This window comes from Homo sapiens, chromosome 3 (assembly GCF_000001405.40).
Source record: "Homo sapiens chromosome 3, GRCh38.p14 Primary Assembly".
Taxonomy (NCBI): domain Eukaryota; kingdom Metazoa; phylum Chordata; class Mammalia; order Primates; family Hominidae; genus Homo; species Homo sapiens.
This window is the reverse complement of record NC_000003.12, coordinates 16,668,856-16,691,055: the sequence shown is the minus strand read 5'-3', so window position 1 is coordinate 16,691,055 and position 22,200 is coordinate 16,668,856. Positions and strand designations below refer to the sequence as shown.

General features: G+C 39.3%; 4 annotated features.

Moving 5' to 3' along the window:
- Window positions 3,069-4,026: an enhancer, noted in NCBI's record as "OCT4-NANOG-H3K27ac hESC enhancer chr3:16728537-16729494 (GRCh37/hg19 assembly coordinates)". NCBI's record gives its function as "activates a minimal SCP1, AML or CMV promoter by ChIP-STARR-seq in naive and primed H9 embryonic stem cells {active_cell/tissue: H9 hESC(naive and primed)}" and the evidence as "EXISTENCE:reporter gene assay evidence [ECO:0000049][PMID:30033119]".
- Window positions 13,574-14,074: an enhancer, noted in NCBI's record as "H3K4me1 hESC enhancer chr3:16718489-16718989 (GRCh37/hg19 assembly coordinates)". NCBI's record gives its function as "activates a minimal SCP1, AML or CMV promoter by ChIP-STARR-seq in naive H9 embryonic stem cells {active_cell/tissue: H9 hESC(naive)}" and the evidence as "EXISTENCE:reporter gene assay evidence [ECO:0000049][PMID:30033119]".
- Window positions 14,075-14,575: an enhancer, noted in NCBI's record as "H3K4me1 hESC enhancer chr3:16717988-16718488 (GRCh37/hg19 assembly coordinates)". NCBI's record gives its function as "activates a minimal SCP1, AML or CMV promoter by ChIP-STARR-seq in naive H9 embryonic stem cells {active_cell/tissue: H9 hESC(naive)}" and the evidence as "EXISTENCE:reporter gene assay evidence [ECO:0000049][PMID:30033119]".
- Window positions 18,970-19,938: an enhancer, noted in NCBI's record as "NANOG-H3K27ac hESC enhancer chr3:16712625-16713593 (GRCh37/hg19 assembly coordinates)". NCBI's record gives its function as "activates a minimal SCP1, AML or CMV promoter by ChIP-STARR-seq in primed H9 embryonic stem cells {active_cell/tissue: H9 hESC(primed)}" and the evidence as "EXISTENCE:reporter gene assay evidence [ECO:0000049][PMID:30033119]".

Sequence of the window (22,200 nt, the reverse complement as noted above, 5' to 3'; positions counted from 1 at the left end):
GATGGGTACAGTAGTTTTGCATCTGTGGGGCCTACCTTTTCATTCAGTAGTTTGAACTATATATAAACTGCATAATCTGTAAAGTTTTTATAGAATAAGTATTCAGCTGTGAAAACTGGTTAAATCAAACTAACATTTCTTACACACAAACACATATACATATACATACATACATACAATTAGCTTTTAATAATACACTAAATACAAAGGTAAATTTGGTTTTCTCTTTTGAACAAGATTTTCATGTAACATTAAGAGAGAATAAAATGTTTTTGTTTACCTTGTAATCCAAAATTAAAATTCTAAGCCCTCAGCTGACTAAATGGATCCCTCTCTTGCAAGGTGGTCCCAAAGAAACCTGAAAAACTAGCTCAGGTGTGATGGGAAGGGAAAGCTGGACAGGCCTCGTTATACCCTCCTCTCTTTGGAATTTAGGCACAACCAACCAATGTTAACATTAAAATAGAGATCACAAGACTGACCAAACAGACTCTTTGGACACCAAATTCCAACCTGACTCTGGTATGGCATCACATGACAGACAGTAAGCCCTGAAGGAAATCAAAGTGTTTTACCCCAAAATGTATTTTTTTACATATTTTGAAATGACTCTGCAAAGCTGTCTCTGTGAGAGAAATTTGCAATCTGTAAAGAATCTCCTTCCCTTGCTAGGTCTTCTTCTGGAGAGTCTGACACCTTGTAAGGCCCAGTAGGGGAAATTTACCATCTATTCTCTCTGAAACCTCCTATCTGGAAGCTTCAGCTACATGACAAGAACCCTGGCTTCCACAGCACCCCTTATCTCAACTCAAGCATTTCTTTATGCTAACTTCAAACTCTTCAGGCAAAGCTTAAGTCTTTCAATCAATTGCCAATCAGAAAACCTTTGGATCCACCTTTGACCTGGAAGCCCCTACTTCAAGATGTCCTACCTTTCTGGGCCAAACCAATGTAAACCTTCCATGTATTGATTTATGCTTTTGCCTGTAATTTCTGCCTCCCTAAAATGTATCTTATATAAAATATAGATTTATTGGGAATGAGACAATGCATTATTGACTTTTCCACTACTCCCTATTTTCATATGTAAAACGTAGATTTAGTAAGGCTACTTAGAGCCTCACAAGAATGTAATGATCTGCCTCACTGCCTCCCTCCCTCCTATTTGCTCTTTCCCCTTTAAATACTGAAGTTCACGACACCCTTGGCAAAAGCGTAGATCACAAATTCTCCTATGATTTGTGGTTTTCCCAGGCATGTCCTCCACTTTGGCTAAATAAACCTCTAATCAATTGAGACACCTACCTCAGTCACCTTTTGGTTTACACAGGCAAAACTGTAAATCAATACATGGAGGTTACATTGGTTTGGCCCCAAAAGGCAGGATATCTTGATGCAGGGGGTTTACAGGTCATACGTAGATTCAGAGATTCTTTGATTTGCAATTGGTTAAGGAAGCAAGGCTTTGTCTAAAAACTTAGGGTTAACAAAAAAAAATGTTAAGGTGTGGCCTGTGGATGTGAATTTCTCTAGGCCCCTCAGGAAGAAATTTAGAACAAAGAATGGTGGACAGAGTTCAGTCTTCAGCTCCCCCTTATCTGTGGTCTACATGGCAGCAGTTGGCATTTCCCATCTGATAGGAGTCTGAAAAACAACGCAGGGATATATGTGAAGATGTCATCTTTAGTTTCTACAGGGAAACAAACATCTTGTGGCTTTAATTTTCCTGGGTGGCTATTGTTTTAAGCTATCGTTACCTTCTTGCTTATCAGGTTGCTTATTTACATCTCAAGGTTAACTAGGTTCCTGGAATGTCTCTTGAAGGAACTCAAGATTTTCCTTTATTTCCATGCTTGGCTTCCTTATTATGGGCCCCTGTTCTGTCTCAGCCTTGTTCCCAGTCAATGTTCTAGAAGATGGCAGACCTCACAGAGAGTTCTTGGGGGCAAGATGGTATGGCAGCTCTAGAGTAAAAATGATAGCATTCCAGGACAAGGAGGGCACAGCAAATAAGTCTGAAATGGACATCTGAGACCACAGACAGCTCCATAGTTGTCAGTGTGGACTACCAAGGACCAGAGCCCACCACCACTTCCACCTCCATGGCATGCTTTATCCAGCACATAGACACCCCTCTCCCCAGCTCTTCCCAGGGCAAAGGAGAAATAAATAGGTGAAATCTGAATTGATTGAGTTTAAGTGTGATTTAACTATAAAAATGCTAAACTGACTTTGTTAAGCAAGAGTTGACTAGAATACATCTTGTAACAACTGGGATAAAAGGAGGTTGAAATAGAGATTAAGTGATTTTTTTCCATCACCAACAGAACCCTAACTTTACTCAGAATGTCAATGTGTATAGCTAAAAACAACATTGCTAAGTATCCTTTGCAGAAGGTGTGGTCAACAGGGAAATTAGAGGTTGTGGGGTGGAGCTTGTTGAAAAGCTGTCTTTAAAATGAAATGTCTTGGCTAGGCATGGTGACTCACACCTGTAATCCCAGCACTTTGGGAGGTCAAGGCAGGCGGATCACCTGAGGTCAGGAGTTCGAGACCAGCCTGGCCAAAATGGTGAAACCCTGTCTCTACTAAAAATACAAAACTTAGCCAGGCATGCTGGCACATGCCTGTAGTCCCAGCTACTCAGGAGGCTGAGGCAGGAGAATCGCTTGAACCCAGGAGACAGAGGTTGCAGTGAGCAGAGATCACATCACTGCACTCCAGACTGGGAGACAGAGCAAGACTCCATCTCAAAAATAAATAAATAAATAAATAAATAAATGGAGTGCCTTGGCTGGCAATTGCTCCTCATCCCTTTTCTTTCCTTCTTCCTCCTCTGGACAGAATGGCTGGAGCAGTAGCTACCACTTTGTGACCAAGAAGGAAAGGCTGAGAGAATCACAGAGACCTTAACTCTGGTGTCATTGAACTACCCGCTTTCAGACTCCTCACTATGTGAGAAAAATGACTCCCCAATTTGCCTGAGCCTCTGTTTCTTAGGTTTCTAAATAGACAGCCAAATGTAATTCTGAATCAATACAAATAAAAATGTTAAAACCTCTCAGAGGTATTCATTGTTGATGAGTTGTTATATATTCTTCCAGACTTTTAACACTTTACATTTATGTGCAATATTATAAAAAGTAAGATTTTTTTAGTATCATAAAAATAAAGATTCCTTAAATCTTTAAGAATAAGAGCTAATGTCTTTAAAAATAAGGTTCTACACTGTAGAATTTGGTGTGAATGTGAAAGTCAAGCTTTATTTAAATGACAAATGTCTTGAAAATCCACATGAAGCTAAGTGTCTTTTGTGGATCACACATTATTGGATGTCTGTAGAACTTTTTAAAGGGTCTGTAGGAGGGGGAAAATAATTTTCTCTTCTGCCCTTCATGAGTTCTTAGCTGGAACTCCATTTAACAAAAGACAGATTAACAAGAGAAAAGCAAACAAAAGTTTAATAATGTGTACCTCTTGTATACAAAGGAGAAAACAAGATCAATGAGTACATCTCTAGAGTAGATCTCAAAAGGGTAGTCTTAGAATTCAGGCTTAAATCCCATTATTCTCTGAAACAAAGAAAGAAGGGTGTGGGGAGAGTTTCCATTAAGATGTAATAACCATGAAAAACACTAAAACAGGTCAGATTTGTTATGCAGATTTAATGGATGCCTTCTCCATTGATTATAGAGTCTCTAGTAGTTTAGTTATCCTTCTCATCCCTGGTGCAGACAGGGAGACACCCTTACAAATGGATATAGATGCAAATTTCTCCTACAAAAGGGTAACTTTTCAGAACTCCTTTGTCTGCAGTTTCTCAAAATAACCAACTCAAAAAAATCCTTATGCAAAAGAGGGATATTTGGGGTGGCAGATTCTGGTCTTCTACAGTTATATTTTGGGGATGGTGTGTCCTGGTCTGATCAGGTCAACTCCAAATGACGCTATTGAGTCATCTTAGATTTTAGCAATAATAAAATTTTCAAAGACAGACATGAAACTTTCTGATCTATATTCTGAGAGCAGAAGTGGTAAATTTGGAAAACAGGTGCAACTAGTTATTTGTAATTTCAGGAGTCTGAAAGGAAAAGCCAGATATCACACTAAAAATGCTAATTTGAGAAATGTGCTTGTTAGCTGCAGTGGCTGTGAGAATGTGCCTCTGTAATCTCCAACTGCAGTGAGCAAAACTGACCGACAGCCCCAGGTGCTGCACTTAGATGTCCACTGCTGCATTTGCACAAAGCCGCACTTCCCATGGGTTGCTCTCAGCCATGGATTGAGCAAAGGCAGAGATACTCGTGCAGGCCTCAAGATGCAGGACTTCTCTGATGGGTGACTTTGGCACAAGGACACTCTGACAGCCTTACCACATTTTCACAAGGATGATACTGCAACCTCAGATGCTTCTGCCCAACCATCCGGTCTTCCTTCTGCCTTCCCATGGTCCTTCCCTATTTTCTCTTATGAGCATTTCCCTTAATACATTTCTTGCACATTTAATTTTGTCTTGGAGTCTCCTTCTTAGAGGACTCAAACTAACATATTATCCAAGGGAACAATAGCTTTAACTAGGAGGCAACTATTATAGGGGTGGGAAGTGTGATACCTTTCCTCACCCATTATAAGGGTTATGGCAGACTCTCAACTCTCAAAAGATGAGTTAACAACAAAGGAATATAAATCATTCTATTATAAAGATACATGCACACATATGTTTATTTGCAGCACTATTCACAATAGCAAAGACATGGAACCAACCCAAATGCCCATCAATGATAGACTGGATAAAGAAAATGTGGTACATATATACCATGGAATACTATGCAGCCATAAAATGGAATAAGATCAGGTCCTTTGCAAGGACATAGATGAAGCTGGAAGCCATCATCCTCAGCAAACTAATGCAGGAACAGAAAACTAAACACCACATGTTCTCACTCATAAGTGGGAGTTGAACAATCAAAGCACATGGACACAGGGATGGGCCTGTCAGGGATGGGGGACTAGTGGAGGGAGTACATTAGGACAAATAGCTAATGCATGTGGGGCTTAAAACCTAAGTGACAGGTTGATAGGTGCAGCAAACCACCATGGCATACATATATCTATACCTATGTAACAAACCTGCACATTCTGCACATGTATCCCAGAACTAAAGCATAACAGATTTATTTAATCAGAGTTTCTTATGACTTGGACGCCTTCAGAAATGAGGACCCGAACACCCAGGAAAACTATTTTTATGCTTCGGTTCAATGAAGAATGGATAGCCGTGTAAACATGTGATTGGACAAAAAAGAGAACGATCTGATGACAATAGACTGAGTGGGGAACCCAGAAGAGCCTGTCTGTTCAGATTTTTCTGAGCCTTTCTGTGCAGCGTTCCTTCTTCCCAGGTATAGGGCAGGTCCCCTGTGGAATGAGGGTCTTATGACCCGCTATCAGATCAGACAAAGCAGGTCATAGAATTTATTTGTGTTCAGCTCCTACACAGAAAGGCAGGGGAAGGTTAGAGTAGTATAACCCACCTTGGGAAAGATGTGCTCTAGTTTATATGACCTGCCTTGGGGGCAAAAGGGGAGCAGGGAACAGGAAGGCAGGAGAAGATCAGAAAGATACTTTGCTTCTGAGGTCCTTTCAATATCCTTCAGTTCAAAGTACTCAGCATGCCAATGCACCATACTTTGGGGTATTGTTTTCTAAGCCCCAACATTATCATTCCTCCTATGAAAGAATATCCTGCTTGAAGCTACATCTCAGGAGTTAAGAGAATGATGATGATCATAGCTTAATTACCTTGTACTTTGATTTGTCATGTTATTTCTAGGTGTTACCCTTTCCCAGAGCATTGAGAAACACATATAAGAAGGTCATATGGTTTGGCTCTGTGTCCCCACCCAAATCTCATCTTGAATTATAATCCCCATGTGTCAAGGGAGGGACCTGTAATCCCCACATGTCAAGGGAGGGAGGTGACTGGATCATGTGGGCAGTTTCCCCCATGCTGTTCTCATGATAGTGAGTGAGATCTTGTGAGATCTGATGGTTTTATAAGTGTTTGACAGTTCCTCCTTCACACTCACTCTCTTTCTCACCTGCCATCATGTAAGACAAGCCTGCTTCCCCTTCCACAATGATTGTAAGTTTCCTGAGGCCTCCCCAGCCATGTGGAACTGTGAGTCAATTAAACCTCTTTCCTTTATACATTACCCAGTATTGGGTATTTCTTTAGAGCAGTGTGAAAACAGACTAATACAGAAGGTGGTTCTCTCACTTATGCAATTCCAGCACAGAACATACCTCTATACTAGGGTTTCTGAACCTCAGCATGGTTGATGTTTAAGCTGGGTAATTCTTTGTTGTGAGGGAGGGCTGACCTGTGCCTTATAGGATGTTAAGTAGCATCCCTAGCCTCTACCCACTAGATACCAGTAGGATCCTCCCCAAAAGATGCCTCCAGACATTACCAAATATTCTATGGGGGGAAAAACTGCCCCAGATGAAAACCTCTTCTCTATATTCAGAAATGAGAAACAGGACAGTATAGATTAATGACAGTGACAGTCACATGTTATTTGCTGGGGGGTTTTGGGGTGGGGGATGTGGTTACAAAACTAAGCTTCTGCCTGGACATATTGTGACAGAGACACCAAGGTGCAAATCCCAGCTCCAACAGTTCGTAGCTGTGTGGCCTTAGGTATGTTATTTAATATCTGGAGTTATCCAAACTTGAGGTGAAAGGCAAGGTCCTCCCAGACTGCAAAGTCTATCCAAGACTTCTGACACTAGCCCCAAGTTTGTGGGTCCCCAGGGTCACCCTCACTTCAGACCAGCTGGCTGCAAATTCAAGGGTCCCCACAAACTCCTTCATGTTCAGTAAGTTGCTAAATGACTTACAGAACTCAGGAAAGCTGATCTTTGATCTATACTTTGAACTATACTTTGATCATAACAGTTTTATTATAGCAAAAAGGATACAATTCAGAACCCCTCAAGGGAAGAGACACATAGGAGGAATCTGGGACTGGGAGGGCTCCAAACATGAAATGTCTGTTTCCTCAGGATTCTGTGTCCTCTGGCATCCATGTGTAGCAGTAAGTGTATGGAGTATTACCACCCCTGGAAACTCACCCAAGTATGGAATATTACCAACCCTCTATGAACCCTAAAAATCTGAGACAGGTATCAGTTAGTTTAGAAAGTTTATTTTGCCAAGGTTGAGGATGTGCACCAGTGACACAGACTTAGAAGGTCCTGAAGACATGTGCCCAAGATGGTCAGAGCACAGTTTACTTTTATATGTTTTAGAGAGACATGACACATCAATCAACATAGGTAAAATGAACATTGGTTTAGACTGGAAAGGCGGGAAAACCTGAAGTAGGAAGGGGGCTTCCACGTCATAGGTAAGTGAGAGACAAACAGTTGCATGCTATTTGAGTTTCTGATTAGCCTTTCCAAAGGAGGCAATCAGATATGCATTTATCTCAGTGAGCAGAGGGATGACTTTGAATAGAATGCGAGGTGAGTTTGTCCTAGGCAGTTCCCCCCTTGACTTTTCCCTTTAACTTAGTGATTTTGGGGCCCAAAGATTTATTTTCTTCTACATTTCCCCCTTTTTCTTTGTAAAATCTTTTGGAGAAAGCATTTAAGAAGAAAATGAATCTCTGGTCTTAGACTTTGTCTGATCTCTCATGGCCAGGACAGTTTATTCCTAGACAAGTAGGTCTCAAGTTCTTAGAAAAACTAATTTTTAGCAGGTTGTGAAGTCGCATGTCCCATGAAGAGAAAGTAGGGGGAAGAAGGGATAAAAACAACAACAAACAAAATAACAATCTTGAAAAATTGATATAGGCCACATTACTCTGTAGTCCATACTTCAGTAGGCAGGTATGAATGTGGTTATGTATGTAAACAGGTTGCCATTATTTTCTTCTGAAGTTTAAGTTGTTTAGCTTCAGTTTGCATGGCTTTACAAAAGCACAGCTTAGTTTTCAGTGACTCCAAATCAGGAAAAACAGGGAAAAAGGAAGGAAAAGTGGAAAACATTATTTTAAAGACTTGTAGCCAATAAAAATTAGAATTCGGTCCAAACTGTAGAAAATAATAAAAGTTGAAAAACATTATGCAAGACTAAAATCTAACAACAGGTGTGCTATAGTTTTTGAAACATAATTTTTCTCTCTCCAGTTTCCCATTTTTATTAAAGACGAATCATGGGAGGACTGGTTTTCTTTATTATACCTGGCCTAATTATTTGTATATAGTGCAGCAAGAATAATTATTATTTTTTATTTTATTTTATTGTTATTATACTTTAAGTTTTAGGGTACATGTGCACAATGTGCGGGTTAGTTACATATGTATACATGTGCCATGCTGGTGTGCTGCACCCATTAACTCGTCATTTAGCATTAGGTATATCTCCTAATGCTATCCCTCCCCCCTCCCCCCACCCACAACAGTCCCCGTTGTGTGATGTTCCCCTTCCTGTGTCCATGTGTTCTCATTGTTCAATTCCCACCTATGAGTGAGAACATGCGGTGTCTGGTTTTTTGTCCTTGCGATAGTTTACTGAGAATGATGATTTCCAATTTCATCCATGTCCCTACAAAGGACATGAACTCATCATTTTTTATGGCTGCATAGTATTCCATGGTGTATATGTGCCACATTTTCTTAATCCAGTCTATCATTGTTGGACATTTGGGTTGGTTCCAAGTCTTTGCTATTGTGAATAGTGCCGCAATAAACATACGTGTTCATGTGTCTTTATAGCAGCATGATTTATAATCCTTTGGGTATATATCCAGTAATGGGATGACTGGGTCAAATGGTATTTCTAGTTCTAGATCCCTGAGGAATCGCCACACTGACTTCCACAATGGTTGGACTAGTTTACAGTCCCACCAACAGTGTAAAAGTGTTCCTATTTCTCCACATCCTCTCCAGCACCTGTTGTTTCCTGACTTTTTAATGATCGCCATTCTAACTGGTGTGAGATGGTATCTCATTGTGGTTTTGATTTGCATTTCTTTGATGGCCAGTGATGATGAGCAGTTTTTCATGTGTCTTTTGGCTGCATAAATGTCTTCTTTTGAGAAGTGTCTGTTCATATCCTTCACCCACTTTTTGATGGGGTTGTTTGTTTTTTTCTTGTAAATTTGTTTGAGTTCATTGTAGATTCTGGATATTAGCCCTTTGTCAGATGAGTAGGTTGCAAAAATTTTCTCCCATTTTGTAGGTTGCCTGTTCACTCTGATGGTAGTTTCTTTTGTTGTGCAGAAGCTCTTTAGTTTAAATAGATCCCATTTGTCAATTTTGGCTTTTGTTGCCATTGCTTTTGGTGTTTTAGACATGAAGTCCTTGCCCATGCCTATGTCCTGAATGGTAATGCCTAGGTTTTCTTCTAGGGTTTTTATGGTTTTAGGTCTAACGTTTAAGTCTTTAATCCATCTTGAATTAATTTTTGTATAAGATGTAAGGAAGGGATCCAGTTTCAGCTTTCTACATATGGCTAGCCAGTTTTCCCAGCACCATTTATTAAATAGGGAATCCTTTCCCCATTGCTTGTTTTTGTCAGGTTTGTCAATGATCAGATATTTGTAGATATGCAGTGTTATTTCTGAGGGCTCTGTTCTGTTCCATTGATCTATATCTCTGTTTTGGTACCAGTACCATGCTGTTTTGGTTACTGTAGCCTTGTAGTATAGTTTGAAGTCAGGTAGCGTGATGCCTCCAGCTTTGTTCTTTTGGCTTAGGATTGACTTGGTGATGCAGGCTCTTTTTTGGTTCCATATGAAGTTTAAAGTAGTTTTTTCCAATTCTGTGAAGAAAGTCATTGGTAGCTTGATGGGGATGGCATTGAATCTATAAATTACCTTGGACAGTATGGCCATTTTCACGATATTGATTCTTCCTACCCATGAGCATGGAATGTTCTTCCATTTGTTTGTATCCTCTTTTATTTCCTTGAGCAGTGGTTTGTAGTTCTCCTTGAAGAGGTCCTTCACGTCCCTTGTAAGTTGGATTCCTACGTATTTTATTCCCTTTGAAGCAATTGTGAATGGGAGTTCACTCATGATTTGGCTCTCTGTTTGTCTGTTATTGGTGTATAAGAATGCTTGTGATTTTTGCACATTGATTTTGTATCCTGAGAGTTTGCTGAAGTTGCTTATCAGCTTAAGGAGATTTTGGGCTGAGAAAATGGGGTTTTCTAGATATATAATCATGTCGTCTGCAAACAGGGACAATTTGACTTCCTCTTTTCCTAATTGAATACCCTTTATTTCCTTCTCCTGCCTAATTGCCCTGGCCAGAACTTCCAACACTATGTTGAATAGGAGTGGTGAGAGAGGGCATCCCTGTCTTGTGCCAGTTTTCAAAGGGAATGCTTCCAGTTTTTGCCCATTCAGTATGATATTGGCTGTGGTTTTGTCATAGATAGCTCTTATTATTTTGAGATACATCCCATCAATACCGAATTTATTGAGAGTTTTTAGCATGAAGGGTTGTTGAATTTTGTCAAAGGCCTTTTCTGCATCTATTGAGATAATCATGTGGTTTTTGACTTTGGTTCTGTTTATATGCTGGATTACATTTATTGATTTGCGTATATTGAGCCAGCCTTGCATCCCAGGGATGAAGCCCACTTGATCATGGCGGAAAAGCTTTTTGATGTGCTGCTGGATTCGGTTTGCCAGTATTTTATTGAGGATTTTTGCATCAATGTTCATCAAGGATATTGGTCTAAAATTTTCTTTTTTGGTTGTGTCTCTGCCCAGCTTTGGTATCAGGATGATGCTGGCCTCATAAAATGAGTTAGGGGGGATTCCCTCTTTTTCTATTGATTGGAATAGTTTCAGAAGGAATGGTACCAGTTCCTCCTTATACCTCTGGTAGAATTCGGCTGTGAATCCATCTGGTCCTGGACTCTTTTTGGTTGGTAAGCTATTGATTATTGCCACAATTTCAGATCCTGTTATTGGTCTATTCAGAGATTCAACTTCTTCCTGGTTTAGTCTTGGGAGAGTGTATGTGTCCAGAAATTTATCCATTTCTTCTAGATTTTCTAGTTTATTTGCGTAGAGATGTTTGTAGTATTCTCTGATGGTAGTTTGTATTTCTGTGGGATCGGTGGTGATATCCCCTTTATCATTTTTTATTGCATCTATTTGATTCTTCTCTCTTTTTTTCTTTATGAGTCTTGCTAGTGGTCTATCAATTTTGTTGATCCTTTCAAAAAACCAGCTCCTGGATTCATTAATTTTTTGAAGGGTTTTTTGTGTCTCTATTTCCTTCGGTTCTGCTCTGATTTTAGTTGTTTCTTGCCTTCTGCTAGCTTTTGAATGTTTGCTCTTGCTTTTCTAGTTCTTTTAATTGTGATGTTAGGGTGTCAATTTTGGATATTTCCTGCTTTCTCTTGTGGGCATTTAGTGCTATAAATTTCCCTCTACACACTGCTTTGAATGTGTCCCAGAGATTCTGGTAAGTTGTGTCTTTGTTCTCGTTGGTTTCAAAGCACATCTTTATTTCTGCCTTCATTTTGTTATGTACCCAGTAGTCACTCAGGAGCAGGTTGTTCAGTTTCCATGTAGTTGAGCGGTTTTGAGTGAGTTTCTTAATCCTGAGTTCTAGTTTGATTGCACTGTGGTCTGAGAGACAGTTTGTTATAATTTCTGTTCTTTTACATTTGCTGAGGAGAGCTTTACTTCCAACTATGTGGTCAATTTTGGAATAGGTGTGGTGTGGTGCTGAAAAAAATGTATATTCTGTTGATTTGGGGTGGAGAGTTCTGTAGATGTCTATTAGGTCGGCTTGGTGCAGAGCTGAGTTCAATTCCTGGGTATCCTTGTTAACTTTCTGTCTTGTTGATCTGTCTAATGTTGACAGTGGGTTGTTAAAGTCTCCCATTATTATTGTGTGGGAGTCTAAGTCTCTTTGTAGGTCACTCAGCACTTGCTTTATGAATCTGAGTGCTCCTGTATTGGGGGCATATATATTTAGGATAGTTAGCTCTTCTTGTTGGATTGATCCCTTTACCATTATGTACTGGCCTTCTTTGTCTCTTTTGATCTTTGTTGGTTTAAAGTCTGTTTTATCAGAGACTAGGATTGCAACCCCTGCCTTTTTTTGTTTTCCATTTGCTTGGTAGATCTTCCTCCGTCCTTTTATTTTGAGCCTATGTGTGTCTCTGCATGTGAGATGGGTTTCCTGAATACAGCACACTGATGGGTCTTGACTCTTTATCCAATTTGCCAGTCTGTGTCTTTTAATTGGAGCATTTAGTCCATTTACATTTAAAGTTAATATTGTTATGTGTGAATTTGATCCTGTCATTATGATGTTAGCTGGTTATTTTGCTCGTTAGTTGAGGCAGTTTCTTCCTAGTCTCGACGGTCTTTACATTTTGGCATGATTTTGCAACGGCTGGTACCGGTTGTTCCTTTCCATGTTTAGTGCTTCCTTCAGGAGCTCTTTTAGGGCAGGCCTGGTGGTGACAAAATCTCTTAGCATCTGTAAAGTATTTTATTTCTCCTTCACTTATGAAGCTTAGTTTGGCTGGATATGAAATTCTGGGTTGAAAATTCTTTTCTTTAAGAATGTTGAATATTGGCCCCCACTCTCTTCTAGCCTGTAGAGTTTCTGCCGAGAGATCCGCTGTTAGTCTGATGGGCTTCCCTTTGTGGGTAACCCGACCTTTCTCTCTGGCTGCCCTTAACATTTTTTCCTTCATTTCAACTTTGGTGAATCTGACAATTATGTGTCTTGGAGTTGCTCTTCTTGAGGATTATCTTTGTGGTGTTCTCTGTATTTCCTGAATCTGAATGTTGGCCTGCCTTGCTAGATTGGGGAAGTTCTCCTGGATAATATCCTGCAGAGTGTTTTCCAACTCCCCGTCACTTTCAGGTACACCAATCAGACATAGATTTGGTCTTTTCACATAGTCCCATATTTCTTGGAGGCTTTGTTCATTTCTTTTTATTCTTTTTTCCCTAAACTTCCCTTCTCACTTCATTTCATTCATTTCATCTTCCATCACTGATACCCTTTCTTCCAGTTGATCGCATCAGCTCCTGAGTCTTCTGCATTCTTCACATAGTTCTCAAGCCTTGGTTTTCAGCTCCATCAGCTCCTTTAAGCACTTCTCTGTATTGGTTATTCTAGTGATACATTCGTCTAAATTTTTTTCAAAGTTTTTAACTTCTTTGCCTTTGGTTTGAATTTCCTCCTGTATCTCAGAGTAGTTTGATTGTCTGAAGCCTTCTTCTCTCAACTCATCAAAGTCATTCTCTGTCCAGTTTTGTTCCGTTGCCAGTGAGGAACTGCATTCCTTTGGAGGAGGAGAGGCGCTCTGCTTTTTAGAGTTTCCAGTTTTTCTGCTCTGTTTTTTCCCTATCTTTGTGGTTTCATCTACTTTTGGTCTTTGAAGATGGTGATGTACAGGTGGGTTTTTAGTGTGGATGTCCTTTCTGTTTGTTAGTTTTCCTTCTAACAGACAGGACCCTCAGCTGCAGGTCTGTTGGAGTTTGCTAGAGGTCCACTTCAGACCCTGTTTGCCTGGGTATCAGCAGCGGTGGCTGGAGAACAGCGGATTTTCGTGAACTGTGAATGCTGCTGCCTGATCATTACTCTGGAAGTTTTGTCTCAGAGGAGTACCTGGCCATGTGAGGTGTCAGTCTGCCCCTACTAGGGGGTGCCTCCCAGTTAGGCTGCTCGGGGGTCAGGGGTCAGGGACCCACTTGAGGAGGCAGTCTGCCCGTTCTCAGATCTCCAGCTGTGTGCTGGGAGGACCACTTCTCTCTTCAAAGCTGTCAGGCAGGGACATTTAAGTCTGCAGAGGTTACTGCTGTCTTTTTGTTTGTCTGTGCCCTGCCCCCAGAGATGGAGCCTACAGAGGCAGGCAGGCCTCCTTGAGCTGTGGTGGGCTCCACCCAGTTCGAGCTTCCCGGTTGCTTTGTTTACCTAAGCAAGCCTGGGCAATGGTGGGCGCCCCTCCCCCAGCCTCGCTGCCACCTTGCAGTTTGATCTCAGACTGCTGTGCTAGCAATCAGCGAGACTCCATGGACATAGGACCCTCCGAGCCAGGTACGGGATATAATCTTCTGTTGCGCCGTTTTTTAAGCCCGTTGGAAAAGCGCAGTATTAGGGTGGGAGTGACCTGATTTTCCAGGTGCCGTCTGTCACCCCTTTCTTTGACTAGGAAAGGGAACTCCCTGACCCCTTGCGCTTCCTGAGTGAGGCAATGCCTCACCCTGCTTTGGCTCGCGCATGGTGTGCTGCACTCACTGTCCTGAGCCCACTGTCTGGCACTCCCTAGTGAGATGAACCCGGTACCTCAGATGGAAATGCAGAAATCACCCGTCTTCTGCGTCGCTCACGCTGGGAGCTGTAGACCGGAGCTGTTCCTATTTGGCCATCTTGGCTGCCCTCCCTCATAATTATTTTTTACATAGGCTTTTAAATTGGCTTTGATGGAACTTTGTTTCACAGAAGGAATCTCAGATGAAACTTTTTTAAAGCTGAGCCCAGCCATGGATATGTACCATCAAATACCTATAAGTTGGGTGATCCTCTCCTCTTGAGGTCCCAGGATAAACTTGGGGCTCCTGAGCCTGTCAGAAAGTGACATACTTTACTACTATAGATCAGAACCCTGAACAGAGACTGTGTAGACAAGGTATGAGGCCAGTTTTTCCAAAGGGGTTTTATTGGCTCCATAAGTCAAGTTTGATTCCTTAAAGGAAAGCACACCATTCCAGTCAAAGCCTTGGTAAAATAACCAGTTTCTCTAATTGTGTCCTGTTACAAATGAAAACAGATTCTTATTGCACTTATGTAAATAACTGTATTGCCATAAGTTAAGAATACTCACAAATAGTTTCCAAATTCTGGAGAAATCAGGTAGAGAGAAAAGAAATATGTTGCAAATTTTGTTCAAAGGAGTATCCTAACTTGTTAAAAGCTGTCAATAGCTCAAAAGAAAGGCTTTCTTCACTCTGAAAAAAACAAAACAAAGGATCAACAATGTTTTAAGCAAAAAGTCAAAATGATTACTTCAGTCTTCTATTAGTTCAGTCCATGCAGTTAATTCCTATACTGCTTGATATTTATGAACACTTCAGCTCTCCATGAGTCCTGAAATTTTTCCTTCTATTCTGATGTCATAATCTCCAAAAGTTAACAGAAACCTGCATTCAAGAGCACCTGCTAGGGTTTTACAGCTGATTATAAAACCACCTTCTGAGGAGGACCAAAACAAGGCAACAATTTTCAGTGGATAACAAAAGGCTGTAGGGCAGCCATAGTCAAAGAAACAATTGACAAGGAAATTTATTACCTCTGTGGCACACAATAACAATTATAATTATTACTGATAATGTACACTAAGTCATATCAGAATTATAGGAGTTTTCCATAATTTTGGAAAACATATGAATAACATTTATACAAATGCAGCCCAAAGAAAGCCAAATCATATATGACAATGCTTCCTGTATAATTTTTATACCAAATAAACCAAGTATGTTATTTTTGGACTTTAGGGAACTAATATCTTAAAGGATTAATTAGGTCAGAAAGAGGCAAATTTATAATTTGATTTTGGGAAGTTTGTCAAATATCGAAAGTTTAAAACACTTGATATCATAAAATAGGATCATAGGTCATTATCAACTAAGTCATTCATTTAACCAAAGTGATAAGGATACCAAAGAAGGCAAAAACCTTCCTTCTTTGAGAGGAGACTTCATTTTCCAATCAATAAACCCTAAAAGAAACAGCAAGAAGCCAATTCGTTTTTCAAAATTTTATAAACAATCTATAAAATTTTAATCTTGACCATAAGACATAACTTCCATAAGCCTTTTAAAAACTTTATAACCTTTATTAAGGGTCAGTTAATGCTTCAAGAAAACCTTGTTAATCTGACACAGGGGCCTATATACTGGTCTTGCATCAGTGTGCTTTTGAGATTAATAAATAATTTATAGAGAAGCTGAACTTATTTTATCTCTCAAAATCAGCTCTTACAATCTCACATGTGCACCTCTTCCACGATAGTCCATGGGCCTCGAGGAGCTGAACAGCTTGTATTTCTGGCCCTGTGTCTCAGGAAGGCAGTTCATTTCGATTGGTATCTTCTACTGGGCCTGAAGATGGGGCTTTATTTGCTGTCAGTATTTAAAATTTAGCAGGACTTGGTGTCCTTTCTAGACCCAGGAGCCAAAGCCCTATAACTCAATGTCAAAAGTACTTTAACAGTGCATATATAGAGATATATAGATGTAATAACCTTAATTTAAAAATTTTTAAATCTCTTCTAAACAAGCCAAAATTTATAATAATAATGACATAGGAATTGTTTTGATAAACTGTAAAATCTGTTAGGCCAGTTACCAAAAGGCAAAAGAAACCTTCTGCACTGCACAGAATATTATGTTAGAAGAAAACATTTCCTTTAGAACCTTAAGAAAACATTGTTAGCATCAGGCCACAATAAACAGAACTTAAGGAAGAAAACTAATATGAGCTGAAAATGAGTTGAAGAAGAGCATTACTATTTCTCATCTTTTAAAAGGGGAGAGAAAACTGACAACAGTGAGATGCAATAAAAGTTGAACTTTGGGTTAAAACAAAATGAAAATCTCTGATAATAAACTATGACTAAGTCAATCCCTTAAGAAAATTTCATTGCTCTAACCAATTATTTAGTATATAAGAATTTTTTCACATCAAGCTCAATCTCTAGAAAAACCATTATAATTTCCTTTTGTTTATACACAACTTGATCATATAAAAGTTTTTTGTTTTTGTTTTTGTTTTTTTTTTAAATAAATCCTTACTGTGATTTACACAGACTATTCATGACACGCTTGGATTTTCTGGTTGTTGTCCTGAACATCCCTCTTTCTAAAACAACTAGTCATTTTATTCTAGGACTAAATTTACCATACAAGATTCTTTCTTAATGAAATTATTTCTCTTTTAGCTTTCTTACCAAAAAACCCCTCTTTATTTTTATAACTTTTTTTATCACTCTTATTTCCTAGTTCCTTTTACCTTGTTTTATATATGACATTTAAATAAGCTTTGAATTAGACAAAAATTGTTCACCTTTTTTTTACAAAGAACACACTTTTTTTAGAAGAATGTTTTTCTATGAATATATTTTTATTGGAAAATACTCAAATAATTAAATATCTATCATTTAATGTAATATAACTTTAGATTCTAAATTATGATGAGTTTGTATACAAGTATTTATCTCATTACATTTACCTAATTATTTACCTAGATTATTTATGAAAACTGCAATAGTCATCATTTAAAGTTATGGAACTACCATTGCAAAATTATAACAAGACAGTGAAAAAATTTTGACCTAATTGGCTCCATCTTGTTTTTAACCTCCAAGCTGTCCTTGTTCATTCCTGGACAACAGCCAAACTAACTTTGGGAGGAAATTAGTTGATAGTTTAGCTTTGAAATAAAGATGATAAAAGTCCTTTCCCAAAACAAACCTCATTGCCTGTGGACTAGACTGTCTAAAACCACAAGATTAGAAGTTATGGTAATCTTACTAAATTCAAGATGTAGCTATTTGTATTAAACCAATGCCAATGTCTTATTTATTAAAGATTACACAAGCAAAGATCATTCTGTTTTGGGGTGGGTTTATAGTTTTATAACACCTATGCCAAATTTTGACCCGTATAGTATTTGGCAGAGATGAGTATGAAATTGCTTGATCAATATATGCAAACAAAAATGTGTGCTGGCAATTCTTAAGACATTTTTGATGTTACTTTACCAATCATTTTAAAGCTAGCTTATTTATAAAGATTTTACTTAAGTCATGTAAACTTGAAAAAGCATTTGACTAGTCTTTCCTTTTCTGATAAAGTATTTGATTTAAGTACTTTTATTTTTCTTTAAGCCAATTAATTAGAGTTTTTTTAATATATATTTTCAGTACTAAAACACTGTGTAGACAACACATAAATATATAGACATATTAGGCATGCCAATAGAAGTACATCTTATAGATACATAGAAACCTTTTCTTTTTTTTCCTATCTTGGACTTTCAGATTCTTGATAACCTGTTTCACAATCCTGGGCAGTTGTCAGCTAAATAGCCTTACATTTGCAGATTAAAGGAAACAACTCAGGTGAAAATCAAATAGCAAAATTTACATTATAAGGTATGGAGAGAAAAAGTCTGGTGTGCTAGAGGGATACTAAAGATGGATGCCAAATCAAACATAAAGTTATGGAAATCTATTGTAGGACTGTATAAGGAGACCAATTTTATTTAGATAGGGACTACCTTTCTTTTAAATGGATCTCTGAGCTCTGGGCAGAGCCCATACTGAATCCTGGGTTTCCCAAGGGGAGAATTATTATGAGGCATGTGTTGTTTTTACAGCACACTTAAAAAAAATTTTTTTAAAAGCAAAGGCATTTCTAAGTGTCTAAACTACACTCTTCCTTAAAAACCCAAGAAAAGCCTCTGTTGCAATAACTATTTTAGTCAAAAATCAGGTAACACAATACAAAAGCCAAGCAGTTTAAGAGCTGAGACAAACTTGTCTATTTACACTCTTAGGATTCCATAAGGAGAAATAGAGATTTCTCCCCAAAAGGGAGTCTGGCACCTTCTCCATTTTCTTTAAGGAACCCCAGCTATTATAAGCTATTTTAGGTCCCTCATGCAACAGAAGGTGCAAGAGAAAGGAGAGACAGCAGAAATAAATGAAGAAAACAGAATTCAGTCAACGGAGGAGAAAAAAACTTTTGCTCAAAAAATAGACAAAGTCCGAGGAGAGAAAAAACAAACAACAACATGAAGGCCTTTTAAATACCAACACACACATGTACACATATGCACATGCGTCTTGGATGTCAGCTTTTAATTAAGCTGACTTTTAACCATTGAGCTCCTTTAAAAAGATCATTTAAAATCTCATTACCATATTTCAGCTAGGGCAAATTGCTGCTATTTCAGAAGTACCAAGTATCAAACCAGAAAGGGCTTGATTTAGGAACCAAACCCAGGCTGTCATGGTGGGAAAAAAAAAAAAAAAAGGCAGAATGCTTAGCAAGGGAACTGCAGCATGGGGCAATAGCCGTTGTTTTTTCAGTTTGGCCTGGCTAGCACAAAGGTGGCCTTGTTATGTAAATAAAGCACCTTAAGTAGTCAAAATTAAAAATCTTTCCTTTTTCTTTTTCTTTTTGCTGGCCATTTTTTCCCCCAACCATACCACCTTTTTGTGTGTGTGGAATTCAGCCACTTCAGAAGCTTTGTTCCCCATGATTTGGAACTTTGCTTCAGATTTGATCAAGTTGGATAGAGCTGGTCAAACTCAATTGGAAAAAGATGAAACAACAACAAAAGCAGAAACAAAGAAACAACAACAAAAACAGAAACAAAGAACGACAACAAAAACAGTTAAGTGAAAAAACAAAGGATTGCACAATTTATACAATTACTGAGCACTCTAATGGTAATGAGAAATTAAGACCAGATGGTTGTTAATCTTAACTTTGTCCGAGGCAAACCCCAATTCATTTACTTACCTAGGGATGGATCTCAGGCTGAAGACTGTTCTCTACCATTCTAGATGCAGGAAAAAAAAATATTCATCTTCCCTGTTGGAAGCAAGCTCAAACTCCATAAAGGAGTAACCTGCTTGCCATTGTCATGGAAGCAGGAAAAACTTGCCTTCCTTGTGTTGGAAGCAAGTAAACTCCAAAAAAAAGGAAATTATACAGCAAAATAAACTTTAGGTCTTGACCAAATTGTGGGCAATCAGGGATTCTCTGGAGGAGGTGCTTCCAGGCCTCAGCAAATTGTCCTGTTGGTTTGAGCTATATAGACAGCTCATGCTGGTGCCAAGCACCGATAGGAGATTTGTCAAAGGTCAGGGGTACCTCCACTCACAATCCCTTCATGTTACCAAAATGTGAACCCCACAAATCTGAGACAGGTCAGTTAATTTAGAGAGTTTATTTTGCCAAGGTTGAGGATGTGTGCCTGCGACACAGCCTCAGGAAGTCCTGAAGACGTGAGCCCAAGATGGTCAGAGCACAGCTTGGTTTTACACATTTTAGGGAGACATGAGGCATCAATCAACATATGTAAGACAAACACTGGTTTGGTTTGGAAAGGCAGGACAATTTGAAGAGGGGCAGGGCTTCCAGGTCATAGGTAAGTGAGAGACAAATGGTTGCATTCTTTCTGAGTTTCTGATTAGCCTTTCCAAAATGGCCAATCAGATATGTATGCATTTATCTCAGTGAGCAGAGGGATGACTTTGAATAGAATGGGAGGCAGGTTTGTCCTAGGCAGTTCCCAGCTTGACTTTTCCCTTTAACTTAGTGATTTTGGGGCCCAAAGATTTATTTTTCTTTCACACCTGGAAACTCACCCAAGCCTCACTGGCATATTGGGGTTTCATTACCACAATAATTGAGTCATTGTCCATATGGTTGAATTCAAACTCCAGCCCCCTCCATTCCCAGAGGTTGGGCAGATATCACCTGGCTGATATCCCAACCATCTAATCACACAGATGTGATTCTTGCATGGCCAGACCCACCCAGAGCCATCTCATTAGCATAAACTATCATGTGTGGTCCAAGGGGTCCACCATGAATAACAAAGACATTCCTATCCTCAGTAAATTCCAAGGGATTAGGGGTTACCCTGAGTCCTCCACTACTTCCAAACCCTGCCAGGACCTGAGACAAAGGCCAGGCCTCTCCTCAGGTAAGATTATTTCTTCACTGCACACTTATCCTCTCTGAAGCTCAGATTTCTCATTATGAACTGAAATGTAAAATAGTTACCTTGCTGCCTTGTTGGTATTAAGAGAGACAACATAGGTAAAGTTCCCACCACAGTGTCTGACATATATTGGTGCTCCCCTTCTTTTTCTTCTTCTGCTTCACTGTGTGCCCAGGCCACTACTGAGAGAAAGAAAAACAGAGTCTCTCTTGGGTGTTTAATAATGTGTGTAATGAGATGGGAAAAATTGTATTCTCTCAGATACTAGTGCCAGAATTTTATCCTTTCGTTTGAGAAAATATTTTGATAAACTTTTATGGGTACGTGCTAGTCATGAGTGCTGTTCACTGATGTTTCTGTTTCTCCTCCTCCTGGTATATGGTAGGATGAACTATTCCTCTTGAAGTTAGGCATGGACCTGTGAGTGGAAATGGCACATGGAAGGCCTTATGAGTCAGTAAGAAAATTAGCCACATTCCCTTTCCCCTGCCATATTGACAGCAACATTTTGGGTAGTGGGGCATCCATCAGCTTGTGGCTTTGACAGAGAATGGTGTAGAACAAAGGCCCCAGATGGCCTATAATGAACTATATCATGAGCAAGAAATAACTTTGGTTGTTTTAAGCCACTAACATTGGCAGGTTGTTTGTTACCATAGTATAACATAGACCATCCTGACTGATGCTGAATATTAGGGGTTTAGGGGGAGATTCTGAGGGGACTGGGTTTAGATGTAATGGGTCTATATGGAAAAAGAGGAAGGAATGTTTTACTCCATTGATAGAGAGGGAGGAAGAAAGGAAGAGCAGGAACACAGAAGTGAAGCCACAAAAGCCGGGGCCGAGGCTGTGCAATCCGTGGGAGATGGCATATGCTGTCTATTTCTGCAACATTCATTATTGAAATAAAATTCTAGCTTGTCCTTCACAGCAGATTGTTTCTCAGCTTTTCTTGAGCAACACCAGATTATAATGAGAGGTTGATATTACCCAAGAAAACCCAAGGGCATTAAGAAACTCTTCAAATTTGTAAAATATTTAATTCTGATATTTGATCTCTTTTGTGAAAATAATTATCTGATATTGACGAGGCCTTTCATTTTTATAAAATAGCACAGATATGTAATTAAGAGGTCGTGACAGACAACCCTGGGCTAACTTCTCATAGGCTGATCAGATCTAAGTTAGAGGTAAAAAGAAACAGATGGACATTCAGGGTCAGAGCTCCCTAATCCCATCCCATGCCAGAGAACCACAGCTGCCTTCTTTGTGCCCCTGCCAACTCCAAACCCACAGGCCATTTGTTGGATTCCACAGATCACTAGAGACAAAAAAGCCTGAGTGGCTCAGAGCCTGGAAACTGGAATCAGGAAACTGGGTTTGCCTCCTTCCTTGGCATTACCT